The sequence below is a fragment of the Homo sapiens genome, chromosome 2 (genome assembly GCF_000001405.40).
Source record: "Homo sapiens chromosome 2, GRCh38.p14 Primary Assembly".
NCBI classification, from domain to species: domain Eukaryota; kingdom Metazoa; phylum Chordata; class Mammalia; order Primates; family Hominidae; genus Homo; species Homo sapiens.
In genome coordinates, this window is record NC_000002.12 from 44229749 (window position 1) to 44247292 (window position 17544).

General features: G+C 36.1%; 1 protein-coding gene and 1 pseudogene across 7 annotated transcripts in view, besides 2 other annotated features; one reads left to right on the top strand and one right to left on the bottom strand.

The window, feature by feature from the left end:
* The window catches only part of PPM1B (protein phosphatase, Mg2+/Mn2+ dependent 1B), a 78054-nt gene extending 60874 nt beyond the window's left edge, over positions 1-17180 (top strand). For 3 of the 7 annotated variants that reach the window (NM_002706.6, NM_177969.4, XM_047444835.1), the window contains one exon: positions 665-1724. In NM_002706.6, the coding sequence (NP_002697.1) occupies positions 665-970 (306 nt within the window). In that variant the 3' untranslated portion in view covers positions 971-1724. Of the gene's footprint in view, positions 1-244; positions 1725-2567; positions 4899-14479 lie in introns of those variants that run through there. The other 4 variants (NM_177968.4, XM_047444836.1, XM_011532936.4 and 1 more) reach the window with 3 other exon arrangements.
* Positions 4166-4667: an enhancer, noted in NCBI's record as "H3K27ac hESC enhancer chr2:44461053-44461554 (GRCh37/hg19 assembly coordinates)". NCBI's record gives its function as "activates a minimal SCP1, AML or CMV promoter by ChIP-STARR-seq in primed H9 embryonic stem cells {active_cell/tissue: H9 hESC(primed)}" and the evidence as "EXISTENCE:reporter gene assay evidence [ECO:0000049][PMID:30033119]".
* Positions 4668-5167: an enhancer, noted in NCBI's record as "H3K27ac hESC enhancer chr2:44461555-44462054 (GRCh37/hg19 assembly coordinates)". NCBI's record gives its function as "activates a minimal SCP1, AML or CMV promoter by ChIP-STARR-seq in primed H9 embryonic stem cells {active_cell/tissue: H9 hESC(primed)}" and the evidence as "EXISTENCE:reporter gene assay evidence [ECO:0000049][PMID:30033119]".
* LOC124906174 (uncharacterized) lies at positions 9820-9913 on the bottom strand (annotated as a pseudogene).

Sequence of the window (17544 nt, forward strand, 5' to 3'; positions counted from 1 at the left end):
CTGTACAGTATTAAGTAGTTACTATTGTAGAAACCTGTAGATTTTCCAAAATTCACTAAAATATGAAAGGATTGAGTAGTTTATTATTCATACTGAGAATACTTAATTTATTTTTATCTAGAGATGTTTTTATCAAAATAAGAGCAAAAAGTAAATACAATTTTTATCCGTAAAAACTCTAAAATCTTTCAAAAATCTGTTTAAATCTATATAGTTTTATGTTTTGTATTTCCTACTTATTTAGCAGAAATGATGAAGAAACTGTTCTGATGGCCTGCTTTTCTGTCCTTTTCCTACTGCTTTAAACATTGATTTTCTTTTGTACTAAATCATATAGCCAAATATTGTTTAAGTAAGTCAGTTTTAGGAAATGCTTGTGTTGCTGTTGAATTATAAAAGCTGAGTAAATTTCAGATTAAACTTTAAATGACTGTGAAATAAGACATAAACTAGTTAATGGTAATTTGCTTAAAATGACTTGAGATTATTATTGGAAGTTTTTATTAATTGATACAGGTAAGAATTGATATTTAATAAAATGTTCTCATGCTTAGACTATATTACTTTTCGGTAGAGAAATTAGTATTTTGCTGTAATGTGTTATGAAATACATGTGATATCCTAGTTTGTCTACTGACACTGGGGTCTTGAATCTTAAAAAAAGGCCTCCGATGAAGCAGAGGAAAGTGGATCACAGGGAAAATTGGTGGAAGCTCTCAGGCAAATGAGAATTAATCATAGGGGAAACTACCGACAACTTCTGGAGGAGATGCTGACTAGTTACAGGCTAGCTAAAGTAGAGGGAGAAGAAAGCCCTGCTGAACCAGCTGCCACAGCTACTTCTTCGAACAGTGATGCTGGAAACCCAGTGACAATGCAGGAAAGCCATACTGAATCAGAAAGTGGTCTTGCTGAATTAGACAGCTCTAATGAAGATGCAGGGACAAAGATGAGTGGTGAAAAAATATGACTTTCCTTTTTGGTAATATTTTTGTGATCTTTGATGGTTTTTAACCTAGGAAGTGTAATGTATGCATTTATATAACTGTTTTGTTATTTGAATCTTGGAAAACTAGTTTTATTATATTCAGATAGCCTTGTTTTTTAAAAAGGCCTTTGCATACACCTTTATGAGATAGTGTAAAATTGACTATTTATAGTACTATGGATTTAATGAAATTATATGTCATTTCACATTGTATGCCAGAAATTAGGCTACCAATTATGAATTAAAGTCAGTAGTTAAATTAATACTAGATAGAATTAGAAATTTTGATTAGAGAGATTATGCTATATTATGGAAAAACTTGTTAATGTAGAATTATACTGCTTCATATTATTTTACCTATTAGTACACTCATAGTTAGCTTTGTAATAAATTTATGTTTTCTTTAATAATTTTAGTTCTTCAAAGAATGGCTGATGCTGGCCTGTAATTTTTCTTTCAAGGATGATAATTTGTGTGTTGTTTGATTTGTTTATATTTTACATCTCTGTAGTTTTATTTTTAGAAGTTGTGAGATATTGGATGTGTGGCTATTTTTCCTTTCTCTGTATTCTTTATGAAACATAACTTTTGAAAAACCTATGTATTATTCATACAGCTTTGGTTTGTATATTCTGTATAGCCTAACTACACACATCAAAATGTATGTCAACCAAGTGTTTAGAATGAAATTATAAGTGTTTAAGTCCAAATAAAGCATGTGATGTGGAATAATCTATGCATGTTGTACTTATTTTTGAATTAATTTTTTAAAAACAACCAAGTTTGGTATATTGGAAGAATACCCATTAGAAATTCATTTGTATTTATATAACATTTAGAACACTTTTGGCTTACCTTTTTTCATTAACAAAAAGGAAAAGTTTAATATTAAAATATATGTGTTGCATACTTAAATCTATTCTTTTTCTTATCCATCTTTTGTGGTACAAAATATTAATCTTTGGACATTATGGGCACACATTAGACATGTGAGAAAATTGCCACAGTGAGCATTTTAAAGATTGCAGAATTGTCCATTTTGTTACAAATTTTTGTTAGTTATTAAGAAATTGAACAATTATGGGCTATTTTTAAAATAGTGGCAGATGAGAGTTTTTGTTTAAAGGGATTTTTAAATTATAGATTTGTCACATAGGGAAAAATATTTTTTAAAAATTATTTTATAACTGTAGAACATTAACTTTTCGTCTTTACGTTTATATTTATATCATGTGTCTAAAGTTGCTTTAAGTTACCATAAATTGAAACTTCGGAATCTTTGGATGTTATAGCTGATGTTTTGATGTATTTTTCCAATGCCAGAATATTTTTAAGTGCTTTGAGAAAGGAAGGCATTTGATGGAGAGGGGAGGAAAATAACCCAACCCAGTTATCTATCCATATTAGATACACGTGTACACACACAATATGCAATACACAACATCTCTCTGTAAAAGTACCCTTTTCAGACAAAGAAAGGAAGGTAATTTGTTCATCAATTTTGTTTTCTTTTGAAATTCAATCCAATCTGGAAGTGGCATAGGTAAATAATAATATTCTTCCTTTTCTCTTCCTGTAGGGTGCTGGAGATCTAGAAGACCCATGGTAGCCTTAAAAACCTTCTAAAATGCTTTTGATTCTGAAAATTGGGGGAAAAAACTTTTAATCACAATTTTCTTCAATACAAGGGGAAAATATTCTTGCGGATTCCCAACGTTTTGTGATATGAGCAGAAAATCATTAGCATTTCCCATCATTTGTTCATATTTGTGTTTTCTGACAGTTGCCACTTGTAGCATTGCCTGTACTACAGTATTTTTTGCCAACCTCAGGCATACTCGTTACATCTGTATTGAACTTTCGGCCCTAGAAACCAGTGGAGTTATTTCACCACAAATCAACAATGTGCCTGAGGTGCATGGGAAATATAGTTAGCTATACTCTGAAAATACATTATGTTTTTTTTCTTTAAACAAAACACACAACATGTAAGCATGTAAGAGTAAAGAATTGTATGATATGTTCCTTTTTTCAGTTCACCAAGTTGGAAGCCTTTTGCAGCTCTGTGGCTTGGAATTTCATTTGAGCAATTTCTATAGGATATGTATTTATTATTGATTGTTATTTAATTTTTTTCCAATTTTACCTGTATTACCAAACTGGGTTCTCCAATAATGTCCAAATTGTAATGTTGCCTTGCTTCAAGATAAAGTGTATTTGGGAATAATATTATAAACCCTTACAAATTTTATGCATGTATCTACTGCATCCTTCAACTCTCACTAGAAAATCTTTTGAAACCAAATGGATTAATTTATGGCTATTTATAATTTGCTTTGACATCTCACTGTTGGAAATTTTTTAAAGATGAGATTTGCCTTTATAATGTAAATTGTGATTTTTGTTTTACATGTGGGTTTCTATAGTTTTAATTTTTTCAGCTTTTAAGATACGAGTTTTGTGTAATTTGGTATTTTTAATCATTTATGTTATTTTAAAAGCTCAGAATATCACATTGAAATTACTATAAATACATTTAAAATTATCTATTTTAGATCTAAGGAAATACTACAGAGATATTTTCATGGGTTCAGTAACTTTTCATTTTATAACATTGGGCACGGTACAGAGTGATTGTCACATAAGGTACTTGAAGATTTATTAGTTTAATTCTATTTTTACAGTAACCTTGAATTCTTCTGAGTTTTGCATGTATTAAATTCAATTAATGCTGAACATGAAGAGTAAAGTATTTATCTGAAAGAAGTTTCTGGGTTAGGAGAAGTAATGAATGTATCCATTTGTACATGGTTTACATGTTGTGGATGCTTTGTAAACATTTTCCTGTATGTTTAAATTGTGTTTCAGCAGGATGTAATTGCCCTTGTGTGTAGTTAAAATGAGTCATCATCTGGTCCTTTGTGAAATGGAATTCATGGTATTTTCTGTAACGTTTTCCTGAAGCTGTTTCTGGAGAGCCACACATTTAAATACAGACAGCTTTCCTGATCATTTGATTTATTGTGCACCTGATTTTTGGTCTAAAAGGAATTATTGCCACAATATATTTTATTTATTCTTTAGATTTTAGCCTTGTAAGTTAAAGTGCTTTACATGATGATGTGAAAAGCTGTTTGTCCCTTTACTGGGTTTGGGGGGTTGTTAAAAGATAGGGAATGAAGAATGCAAAATGGTTTATCGTTCAAACTGTCCACTCTGATCCAACCCTGTACTGATAGTACTTCCCAGTATGATATTGTGATGTTTCATACAATGCAGTGAACATAACCAACTTGTTACCTAAATAAAGAATTGATAAAAACAGTGTGACATATTACTATTTGGTATGATTCAGTTTTTAATGTTATTTTAAACTTCTTATATGGTTGGCATATTTCTGAAAATTTAATTCCAAAGAGGAATTAACCAAACTGTACAGGACAATATTAACCCCTTCTGTACTCTAGAAATATTTATACTCCTTTTAAAAAAACCTGCCTTTGGCCGGGTGCATTGGCTCACACCTGTAATCCCAGCACTTTGGGAGGCCAAGGCGGGTGGATCACGAGGTCAAGAGATCGTGACCATCCTGGCCAACACGGTGAAACCCTGCCTCTACTAAAAATACAAAGATTAGCTGGGCATGGTGGTGCTTGCCTGTAATCCCAGCTGCTTGGGAGGCTGAGGCAGAAGAATTGCTTGAACCCAGGAGGCGGAGGTTGCAGTGAGCTAAGATCGCGCCACTGCACTCCAGCCTGGCGACAGAGCGAGACTCCGTCTCAAAAAAAAAAAAAAAGAAAAAAAAAAACTTTTCCGGCAGGGGGCAGGGTGGGGGTTACTGGTGCTTGAAACAGAAATAATGTATGAGTTAGTAAAAGAAAAACCCATATTCAGTGTTGACTCATCTGAATTTCCTAGCCTGGCTATTCTCAAGTATTTTGGTCTGAGGACCCACTTATACTCTTACAAATTGTATACTCCAGTGAACTTTTGCTTTTGTGGATACTATCGATATTTACTATATTAGAAATTAAAGCTGAGAAATTATACATACTGTTTTAATTTGTTAACAAAACAATTACATGTTAATATATAAACCATTTTATGAAAAATAATTGTCTTATAAGTTAGGATACAAAAATTCAGTGTAAAAAGGACCATTTTTCATTTTTGTGAGCCCTTTAATGTTGAACTGAATTCTTGTTTGTGCTTTTGCGTTCAGTCTGTTGAAGTGTGGTATGGCCCGATGGTTGAAGTTTATGAAGAAACCTGGCCTCACACAGATAGGTAGTTGGAAAACAGGAATATTTTAGTCACTTCAGATAACTGTGGATATCAAAACTTGACAACTGATAGTTTCTTGAAGATTGGTTGCAATGTGAAATCGGAAAGTTTATTAGAGGACTTTTCTTAGTTTGTTATGTTAAAATCCACTGGGTCTGTCTTGCATTTTGAATGGACCTTCTGGCTATGCATGATTTTGTCACATCATGAATTAGTCATTTGGAAAATACTGGTTCACTGAATTATGCAGTTCTTCTAAATATTGATCCGTTATTCTGCAATGATTAAAGTTTTTTGTTAAGGGTAGGCACAGTGATTCATGCCTGTAATCCCAGCACTTTGGGAGGCCGAGGCAGGCAGATCACCTGAGATCGGGAGTTTGAGACCAGCCTGACCAACATGGAGAAACCCTGTCTTTACTAAAAATACAAAATTAGCCAGGCATGGTGGCGCATGCCCGTAATCCCAGCTACTCGGGAGGCTGAGCCAGGATAATTGCTTGAACCCAGGTGACGGAGGTTGCAGTGAGCTGAGATCGTGCCATTGCACTCCAGCCTGGGCAACAAAAGCAAAATTCCATCTCAAAAAAAAAAAAAAAAAAAAAGACTGCTTAGCTGAATGTGGTAGCTTATGCCTGTAATAAAGCAGGAGGATTGCTTGAGGCCAGGAGTTCAAGACCCGCCTGGACAACATAGCAAGACCTGGTTTCTACACACAAAAAAATTCTAAGTACTCTAGCATGGTGTCACATGCCTATAGTCCCAGCTAGTTGGGAAACTGAGGCAGGAGGATTGCTTGAGTTCAGGAGTTCAAGGCTGCAGTGAGCTATGATCCAGCCACTGCACAGCAGCCTGGGCAACAGCGAGACTCCATCTCAAATTTTAAATATATGTCTCTTTTATATTAAAAAAAACTCAAATTTTAAAATAACATTGTGAAGGAATAAACAATCTAAGCAACAAATGCTTCCAAGCTGCTTCACCGTTAGTTTATTAACCTGAGTAGAATTTACCACCAAGAGTCATAATTTCTTAATGCTAAAAGTAGAAATCCACTGGGAGTTGCATTGTCATTGAAAAAAAATTATAATGAAGGCCAGGCGCAGTGGCTCACGCCTGTAATCCCAGCACTTTGGCAGGCCAAGGCGGGCAGATCACTTGAGGTCAACAGTTTGAGACCAGCCTGGCTAAAATGGTGAAACCTGTCTCTACTTAAAAAATAAAAATAAAAAAATTAACTTGGTGTGGTGCTGCGTGCCTGTAGTCCTAGCTACTCGGGAGTTTGAGGCAGGAGAATCGCTTGAACCTGGGAGGTGGAGATTGCAGTGAGCCGAGATCGCGCCACTGCACTACAGCCTGGGCGACAGAGGGAGACTCCGTCTCAAAAAAAAAAAAAAAAAAAAAAAAAGTTGTAATGAACTGGTCTTCCTATATGAAAATAATGGCGCTGTCTTGCTAGTTGTGATTCTTCTTTCTACCCAGGCTTTAAAATGGTTTTTAATAACAGGAGAAATAATATTAGTCGGGGAAAAATGTTTCTATAATCATATTAGCCGTATATTTGAGCCAGGAATTGACAGCCTCATTAGTTTACTTTTCAAACTGCCTGATATATTTTCTGAAACCTTGGAAAATACGCAAACCAGAGGAATATATGGTGCCCAAGTCTTTATCCAGCTTCAATACTTGAAATTAACTGGAACATGTCCATCAAATATCTTTTGCTGACCAAATATTATTCTTCCTTGTCTTGAATTTAAGGTTATATTTTTTAAATGACATCTCACACTGACATTTCCTCTTCCAAATTGCCTTCATTTGTGTTTTGAAGTTCATCTGGTTTAAGTATTAAGGGAAAACGTGATAAGATTTCTTGTGGAACACATTTTGTTTTGAGAAGCTAAATAGTATTTAGTGAAAAATAGCAAAGTGTGATGTTTTTCACATATTAGACAATTCCTAGTTGTGCAAAAAATCCATTATATATGTAAAATAGTCAAATGTTAACATAATTGTTAAGATGAATTCAAGCAATGATTTAATTTCAAAGCAATTCTGAAGTTACTTTTTAAATTCTGTACTAGAAAATGCACTGAAATGAAGTTACTTGCTTTTAGTTCATAATGGGCATTATAACAATTTGCACTGTCGTTTTTATGCTAAATTGCTTTTAAGTTTTTTTCTGTTCAACTTTGGGAGTTATTTTGTAAACCCTAAAGAAAATGCTAAACAAGTGTTTGTTTTTGCCTGTTGTTTTGATGATTCGTGTATGTTACATTATGGTCTAGAAGTAAATAGGTGTAGCTACTAATAGAGAATACATTGCTTTTCAGGCAGCATCACCGCCATTTCTCACTTCCTGCTGGCTTTTCTGGCTGTGGTATTTTCTCCCCCTTATTTCCTGTTTCAGTTTTATTTTACCTGCAAACACCACTTACTAGTACACTGTTTTGTGCTCAGATGTAACTGGCAGATATGCTCTTCTAATTCAGAGGTGAGGGGCACTTAGGAAGTCAGTATTTCTGCTATCTTGTAAGTATCCACAACTCCAGTGGGACACAAAAGAGCCATACCTTTTATGGAAAGGTAGAATGAAAGACTGGGCTTTACTTCTTTTAACTAGTAGACCTAGTCTATAATATTGGCAACAGTGATTTTTTTTAATGATTAAATCTGTGCAACAAATGTATTCTTTCCATATAACATTCACCTATAATGCATTTAAGATGAAGAGGACCAGTACCACCCAGGAGTTACCCTAATGGTGGGTCTGATACCTTCTTTCCCTCTCCTGAGTCGTTTACACTTACTTTTTTGGGCACTGATTATGAAGAGGTGGTTTTGCTTCATTCCTAAGTCTTGAAGTTATGAAATGCAATTTATTATTTATTATTATTTGAGATGGAGTTTCATGTTTGTTGCCCAGGCTGGAGTGCAATGGCACGATCTCGGCTCACTGCAACCTCCACCTCCCGGGTTCAAGCGATTCTTCTGCCTCAGCCTCATGAGTAGCTGGGATTACAGGTGTCCACCACCATGCCCAGCTAATTTTTTTGTATTTTTAGTAGAGATGGAGTTTCACCATGTTGGCCAGGCTAGTCTTGAACTCCTGACCTTGGGTGATCCGCCCGCCTTGGCCTCCTGAAGTGCTGGGATTCCAGGCGTGACCCACCGCACCCAGCCTGAAATGCAATTTATCTTAACAATTAATTCCACAGTGACATGATATAGAGTACCATGGGGTTTATTTTCATGAGATTTTGCCTATGAATAATAATTATATAGTATAAAGCTTATTTTAAATATTTAATATTTGCTATTAAAATTGTAATTAAGACTGCTTATAATTGGTATAGCACTTTGGTTCTACTGAAGTATACTCTTGAAAGTTACTGGGTTCTGCTGGGCACAGTGCCTCACGCCTGTAATCCCAGCAGTTTGGGAGGCCGAGGTGGGTGGATCACCTGAGGTCAGGAGTTAGAGACCGGCCTGGCCAACCTGGTGAAACCCCGTCTCTACTAAAAATAGAAAAATTAGCTGAGCCTGGTGGCGGGTGCCTATAGGCCTAGCTACTCAGGAGGCTGAGACAGGAAAATCTCTTGAACCTGGGAGGCGGAGGTTGCAGTGAGCCAAAATCGTGCCACTGCACTCCAGCCTGGGCGACAGAGCGAGAATCTGTCTCAAAAAAAGGAAAAAAAAAAACATTTTAGGGGGAGCTTGAGCTACATAAACATTCTTAAGTCTAGTTTACTTCGGACTGTAACTAATTTTAAAATGCGAAGTCTTCATGAAAGTTCTGTAGGCTCCTAAAGATCCTATACTCCAAGAGTTAATTAAATCCAATAACTTTAAAATGTATTTTAAATGGTTGTAATAATATATTTTACATGTACAATCAAAAGCCTTAATGTAAACTGAAATTATTTCACTAAAAATCCTAACTGAAAAAAGGAGGGGAGAGGAGGGAGAGGGAGAGAGAGAGGAGGAAAACAAACAAAACAGAAAATTGGCTGGACGTGGTGGCGTGTACCTGTAGTCCTAGCTACTTGGAGGCTGAAGCAGGAGGATCCCTTAAGCCCAGGAGTTCAAGTCTGCAGTGAGCTACAAATGGATCACTGCATGCCAGCCTGGGTAACAGAATGAGACCCTGTCTCTAATACAAAAAAAAAAAAAAAAAAAAAAATCCGGTTGGATAAGCATGAAATAGTATATAATTTGCATTTCTGATTACATGTGAGAAAAACATCTTTCCTATATATATTGGCCATTTGAGTTTCCTCTTTTCTGAATTGAATGCTCACACCACTTGTCCATTTTTCCATTGGGTTTGTCTTTTTCTAATTGATTTGTCTTTTTCTATATAGTCTAGATACCAATCCTTTGTTATGCGAGCTGCAAAACCTCTCAGACTGTTTTTCTTTTTTTCTTTGTTTATGCAGTCTTGCTATTTGTCATTTTTTTGCTGTATGTTTTTCTTGTTTAGGAAATCATCCTCATCCCAAGTTCATATAGTCTCTAATTTTTTTAATTTATATATTTTCATTTTCATATCAGGTGGATAATGTAGTAACAAGGCTGAGGGGAGGCACATCTCATGTAAGTGTGAAAACCCAATCATCATGCTTGTGAACTACAGAAGGATCTCTAATGTTACCTTCCAGCCATTTTAGAAGTCTACCTCCCAAGCACATATATTTAGGTTTTTAATCATTCTTGAATTTCTTGTTACATAGTATGTGAACTAAGGAATCTTTATTTTCCATCCAGCTAGCTAATTGTGCCAACACCATGCCACCCCTGTCAGATTCCCATTCCCCAAATATGTGTGGTCCATTTCTAGTTTCTTCTGCTCTATTGTTTTTTTGTTTTTGTTTTTGTTTTTTTTTTTTGTCTAACCCTGTGGAAATATCACATCATTTAGATTACTATAGCCTCTTAAGTGCTGACATCTAGCAGGTATACATTGTCTTCACCATATTTAAATTTAGTTCCTTTTATTTTTCATTTTCAAGACAAGGTCTCACTCTGTTGCCCAGGCTGGAGTGTAGTGGCACCATAGCGCACTGCAGCATCGAACTCCTGTCCTCAAGCAATCCTCCTGCCTCGGCCTCCCAAAGTACTGGGAGTACAGACATGAGCCACCGCACATGGCCTAAATCTAGTTCCTTCTAATAAAATGCAACTAATAATCCACATTCTAATATAAAGAGCTTGCATCCATTTGGGGATATAATATTGAAAATTGTTCGCCCTTCCTATAATTATTTTGTGTGTTTCTGTTGTACATTTACATTTTTAATTGTACTCTGGGACCATGTTGCTCACTCATTTTAACCTATCACTCCCTTTCCTCCCCCTGTAAAACAGGATTAGTAACTATACCATGCCAAGTCATGTGGGAGCCTAAGGCAAATGGAAAACTCTGTAATGATTATTTTTTTCCCTTTTTCTTTTTTTCAGCAGAGAGTAGATTCTGTCTTATTTAAAATGTTTATATTATGTTCGTCATTTTGCATTAGTTTTGACTTTTTTAATGTTGCATTAAAATATCTAAAATTTAAAAAAAAATTTATCTTGATTACTTGCCATTCCTTAAATTTTGTCCCCAAAGCAAGTGCTTCACCCTGGTCCCAGATGATATGTGAATTCCTGGGCCTTTGAAAAGACAATTTTCCTGATTTAAGGCAGATGTTCCCAAGAAGGAATAACTCCTTAGCCTACTAGTACCCATTAGCATGAAACAGCGTTTTCTGGGGTGGCTCAGTAAAATGGAGGGAGCGCTAAGCTAAGAGAGTCCCGAGCTCCAGCAGCAGCCAGGTGCTGTTGGCTTCCTTACGCAGTGAGCTGTCTCTTAATACTTTGAAAACATGATGCTGAGAGAAAGCAAGTTATAAGGGGATGTCTTGTATGTAAATTTGTCTCCAAAATTAATTCCAAAACACTTCATATTTTAATTTCTTTGAAATTGGGAAGCATCTTTATTTTTATTTTTTTTTTTTTTGAGACGGAGTTTCACTCTTGTCGCCCAGGCTGCAGTGCAATGGCGCGATCTTGGCTCACTGCAACTTCCGCCTCCCGGGTTCAAGTGATTCTCCTGCCTCAGCGTCCCAAGTAGCTGGGATTACAGGAATGCGTCACCACGCCCGGCTGATTTTGTATTTTCAGTAGGGTGGGGGTTTCTCCATGTTGGCCAGGCTGGTCTCGAACTCCCGACCTCAGGTGATCCGCCCCCCTTGGCCTCCCAAAGTGCTGGGATTACAGGTGTGAGCCACCGTGCCCGGCCAGGAAGCATCTTAACAATTGTCTTTGACTAAGGCAGCCATCATGGCATAGTTGCACCAGCTTGGTCATATCTCAATTCACAATTGGGTTTTGTACTGTGTCGGGAATACATGTGTTAATATTTAAGTGCTGTTTAAAATGTCTTCAAGGCCAGGCTCGGTGGCTCACACCTGTAATCCCGGCACTATGGGAGGGCCACCTGGAGAGATCACTTGAGGTCAAGAGTTCGAGACCAGCCTGGCCAGCATGGTGAAACCCCATCTCTACTAAAAATACAAAAATTAGCCAGGCGTGGTGGTGTGCACCTGTAATCCCAGCTACCTGGGAGGCTGAGGCAGGAGAATCGCTTGAATCCAGGAGGCAGAGGCTTCAGTGAGCTGAGATCATGTCACTGCACTCCAGCTTGGATGACAGAGCAAGACCCTGTCTCAAAACATAAAATGTCTTCAAAATGATTATATTATGATTTGGCATATAACACAGAAATAATAGCATATGTAAGATTAAAAAAAGATCTGTCCTAAAAACCTGTTATAATAAGTATTAGAAAATAATCTTTTTTTTTTTTTTTTTTTGAGACGGAGTCTCGCACTCTCGTCCAGGCTGGAGAGCAGTGGCGCGATCTCAGCTCACTGCGAGCTCCGCCTCCCAGGTTCACGCCATTCTCCTGCCCCAGCCTTCCGAGTAGCTGGGAGTACAGGCACCTGCCACCACGCCCGGCTAATTTTTTGTATTTTTAGTAGAGACGGGGTTTCACAGTGTTAGCCAAGATGGTCTCGATCTCCTGACCTTGTGATCCACCCACCTCGGCCTCCCAAAGTGCTGGGATTACAGGCGTGAGCCACCACGCCTGGCCAGAAAATAATCTTAAATGTTAACAAAACATTATTTCGTAGTTTAATTGGCAGCATTTTTTCTTAACATATAAAAGAATGGTACGTAAAATAATGGAATCTTAGAGTTGATGAAATATGATAGGTACAATTTATGGATAGTAGTATGTACATATAAAACACACATGAAAATAATACACATTAACTTTAGAACAGTGGTTACTTTTTTAAAGATATTGGGAAAAGGAGCTTTTTATTTTCTCCTTAAAAAAGGTAAAGATGTCAAAATGTGAAATCTGGGCAATAGGTAAAATTGTTGTATTTTTCTCTAATTTTCCATATGTTTGAATTTTTCATAAAATCTTGAGTTAAATAAAATACAGAAACAAAATTCAGTGTCCTAAATTGCCTTTCAGGAAGAGGGTACACATTTACAATCTTAATAGTATACAAGAGTAGCTATGTTTTTCACTTTCTTACCAGTGTTGCACATTGCCAAGCTGCTGGGTAAAATATTGTAACCTACATTTTCTTGATTTAATTCCCAATTATTTGATTACTAGTGAGTGAAAATGTTTTTCTCATATTTGCTTATTCTTTTATTGTAAGCCTGCTCACACATGTTAATTGGCAGCATTTTTTCTTAACATTAAAGGATATTCTGTTTACATATTTATAATTTTTCTTGATTTGTGAGAGCTCTTTATACATGTAGGATTTTAACCATTATTCTGTTACCTATGTCATGGATTATTTTCCTGAGTTCGCCATTTGCCTTTCAATACTGTAATACTGTGTATGGTTTGTTGTTGTTGTTTTTAAGGAAAGATATTCACAGATTGGACTAAGACCAAAGGACATCTAGCCATACTGAAATGACCTAATTTTTGAAAAAAACACAATCTCAACCTCATAGGGATTTCCCCCCCAAAAAAATCACATCATGCAACTTCTGAGCTTTTTCTTACACAATAACTTTTTGTTTCGATGCCAGCTTTTCCTACAGGCAGAATAAGGGCTTTCTACTCACTATGATTGGAGCGGTACTAGAGAGAGGGCTAAGATGCTCAGAGCTGAAGAGTATAAGAGAGCTCTCCTTGGTCAAAAATATTCCCTTTTACCCTTCATATACACTTTTAAATCAAATAGGATTTATTTTGTTTTATTTTACTTTAAAAGAATTGAAAATTTACATACAGTAAACTACAAAGAGCTTTTGTGTTAAATTTGATATGTTTCAACAAGTGTCATACTTTTACATTCAAAATTTTCAGAATTTTCTTTAACAGTTTCATCAACCTTCAGTTGCATACAAAGACAATTTTTTATATCCTAAGTAAATATTTACATATATTTTAAGACATTGGCCTTTTGAATATTTGTACTTTAATACAACTGGAACTTATTTCTGAGGTAAAAATCTAATATAACATTTTCCTATAGATTTTTCCATTATCCCTTTATACCAGCTGTTACATAAGCCAATCTTTTCTCATTATTTGAAGTTGTCCTTTATGACATATTCATGTATATGCTTGTATTTTTATAAGCATTCTATTTTATCGTTTTGTGTTGTGTGTCAGTACCATGTCATCTTAATTATCATAGTTTTACTATACATTTTATTATCTGATAGGGAAAATGCCCCTTATTATTCTACATTTACAAAAATTGAATGTGTTTATTTTTCCAGATGAATTTTTCAATAACTTGGCCAAGATATCCCTGCCAAATAAAAATCTCATTAATGTGTTGATTGAATTGTTGTATGTGTAGATTAATGTAGGGGTCATTGGTATCTTTAGCCAAGGTGAGTTCCACCAGGAAGATGCTACATCTTTCTATTTATACAAGTGTTTTTAATGTCCCCAGTACAGTTTTGTAATTTTCTCCATATGATCTACACCGTTCTTAAATTAATTCCTTGTTATTTTATATTTCTTATTGCTGTGATGAGTGAACCCCCCTCCTCAGTATATTTTAAATGTATACCTTCTTAGACAACTAGTTTTATTTACTTACCAACCCCAATCCTGCAAGAAAAAAAAAAACCATATATATATATATATTTCAATTTCTATCATATCCACCAGATGGCAGTCTTGGGCACGTCCATCTGTAAACCTGCTGAGAGCTCTGGTGACAAGAAAGGCAGTGGCTGGCAGACCTTCCAAGCACTCAGAAGCACGCGGACAAAAAGGTTTTTTTGTAAACCCGAACGAAAAATAAACCCAGCATTATATAATTATAGTATTTGTACTGCTGTTAACCTTTAATCTTATAACCCATTAGTGGAGACAGAGAAGGACTGTCACTGTGCCCTTCAAAATCATATTTTTTCCTGTCCATGTGATAAACACCTGTGGCTTCTTGGCAGCACTTTTGGTTTGATTCCAGGGACTCTTATGGTTAAAGGCAGGCTTTAATCTGGCGTTGTTTTCCTTCTCCTAAAAGCACCATTTAAATCGGAAGTTACTGGATTTCTAAACGGTTAAGACCGTCTTCCGACTGGTTTTTATCATTCCCAGATCTCTTCTGAAAGGAGGTGGTGTGCATAGTTAATATGAAAGGAACTGGCTTGTTCTACGCGAATACAAATCTGAATAACTCTTATATATTAGACCTTTTTTTTTTTTTACTTTAGTGACTTCCAGTATCTATATTTAGAAGTGTATAATTACTTGAGATATATATATATATATATACACACACACACACATATATAGTGTGTGTGTGTGTATCTATGTGTATATATATACATATACACATGTATTTTTAGGGCTTTTGGCTTTTTTAGGGCGGGACACGTGAATCTGGCAGTTGAGACAGAATTTTTCCTATAGCGGTGTAACAGTGTACAATACTAAACTAATGAAATGTCTTTCACTATCAACAATTTACGTATCCATGCTGATTGCTTTAACACTAGAAAAAATATGCCAAAATAAACTACATTTTCTAGGCGCTTTCACACCAAAAACACACACACACAGCTGCTTGCCCATTTGAGAACAGCCAATAAAGCAAACTCTTTGAATGATTTGTGGTTTTGTGTCCCCAGAAGTTTTAACAGTAGTTCTGAAGATTTGTCATTTGTGTGTGCTTCAAAGATAGAGTAATACATTTTATAGCTGGGCAGATCTCTAACTATATAGTTATAAAATCTCAAAGCTGAGAAAACCCTGAATGCCAGATGATCTTTCAGCAGCCTCTAGTGTGAGTGTCAGGAATGAGTTCATTTCCATCTTTGATCAGCTCTGCCTGTCGTGTTGCATCTCTGCTTCTTCTCCTCAGTTGTCTTATTAACCCTCGGGGCTATGAAAATAAGTATTTAAAAGCTCCTGGAACCCACAAAAAACACTAAGCCTTGAGAGAGATGTAGTTGATCTGAGTCACATATGCTAACAACTTTTTATTTCCCTGATTATTCTTCCTGTTCTGTACAATGACTAGAGAGAATAAAACTACATCAGGTACAAAAACCACCTGCCTTCTTAATTAATGACCTTTGTTATAGATTAACTTCTCCTTTGTTGTCCTGCTTCACTTAGATCAGATGACAGAAAACCCATGACTACACCCTCTGTAAAAGGTGTTCAGTGTACCTTTCCCAAGAGAAACACTGCCTGTAACCAAATTGCTGTAACTATGTGCCAACCTTGTATGAAAAATGTTGCAATCCTGCCAAAAACTCCTGTCTCTGCCTATGGAAATGAAACCTTGAGCTTCCTTCCTTCAGCACGCTGACTCCATTCCTTTGGAGCTGGTGCTCCTGGGTGGGCTGTCCTCAAACTCTGCGCTTGAATTATCTGTTTAAATTAGATTCTGACCTTTTTGATTATTTTAGGTTGATAGGGCCAAAATTTAACCCCACCTATTAGGATGACTTCCAGCATATTCTCTTTTCTGTCCCCCATTATTTCATTGATTACCATTATATATCCTAACGCCAACTGTATTCACCATCCAGGACCCTTTTCTCCCAATGTGCTCTCATTTTCTTGATCATTCTTAAAGTATGCAACCCAGAACTGAACATTTATGGGTAGCAGAACTGTCTCCTCCTTTATTCTCATTAATACTTTTCTGTTCTTCTATTTAACACCGAAATATTGAACTAGATTTTCTGGCAACTGCATGATACTGTTTGAGTCCTTCGAGCTTATTTTTGGTTGGTGTTTTGGTTAACCTATTTTGCAGGACCTTTATTTGTTCCTATTAAGTTTTCTTGGGTAAAATTTATTAACCTTTTGAGTTGGTTGTGGATTTATCTAAGATATGTTAGCTATCTTCTTCTTTCCAGTAACTCCAAAATTTCATACATAAACCTCCCATACTGAATGAAACAGGTCCAAGTACTGAGGCCCTGTGGGAGGCCTCAGAAACTTCTCTTCAGTAGGATGCAAATTGACCAATCTTTTACTCAACACCCATTAGGTAAGAATTTCAGCAATGTACTGATCCACTTATCTGCTCATATTTCTCCAGTTTATCTACAAGGATATCATAGGATTTTACATTCTTTGCAGAAGTCACTTGCATATAACCCAGCTTAAGCGGAGGCTTCACTTTGACCTATTCCTCTAGGTCCTTGCAAATTTTTGGTGTTGGTTTTTGCTTGTGGTATTGCTTGCATCATTTATGCATTTTAAAAATCCTGAGCTTGTTACAATTCTTCCTGTGTAACTGCTGATTTCTTGGTTTTGTTTTTATTGTTGTTTTATTATTTTTAGGTACCTCTGCCTTTTTATTCTGTATGTATGTTATACTTCAATTAAAATATTTTTAAAAATATCCCTGATGCATTGAAAAAAATCAAAACTACAAGTTGCTCTGCAACCTGAAGGCCAACTGTAGCAGTGTAGGTTGGTTAAGGTAGAACAGTGCCTCATCCACAGACACCAGTCGCATCACAGACACGTGGACTTAGATGTTGCAACCACTCTCCAGCAAGTGGCAGGAAAGTGTTCTAATTCTAATGAAACTAGTATAGTTATATTGCAACAAATACCTGACAGGTGGAAGTAACATGACTTGCAAAAAAAGTGCTTTTTTTGGAAGTGGTTTTTCCAATTTACCAAATCTGCCACATGGGCCAGCAGCAGCCCTGGAGCCTTGAATTCCTCTGGGAGAGGAGACGAGGTAGCTCTGCACCCTA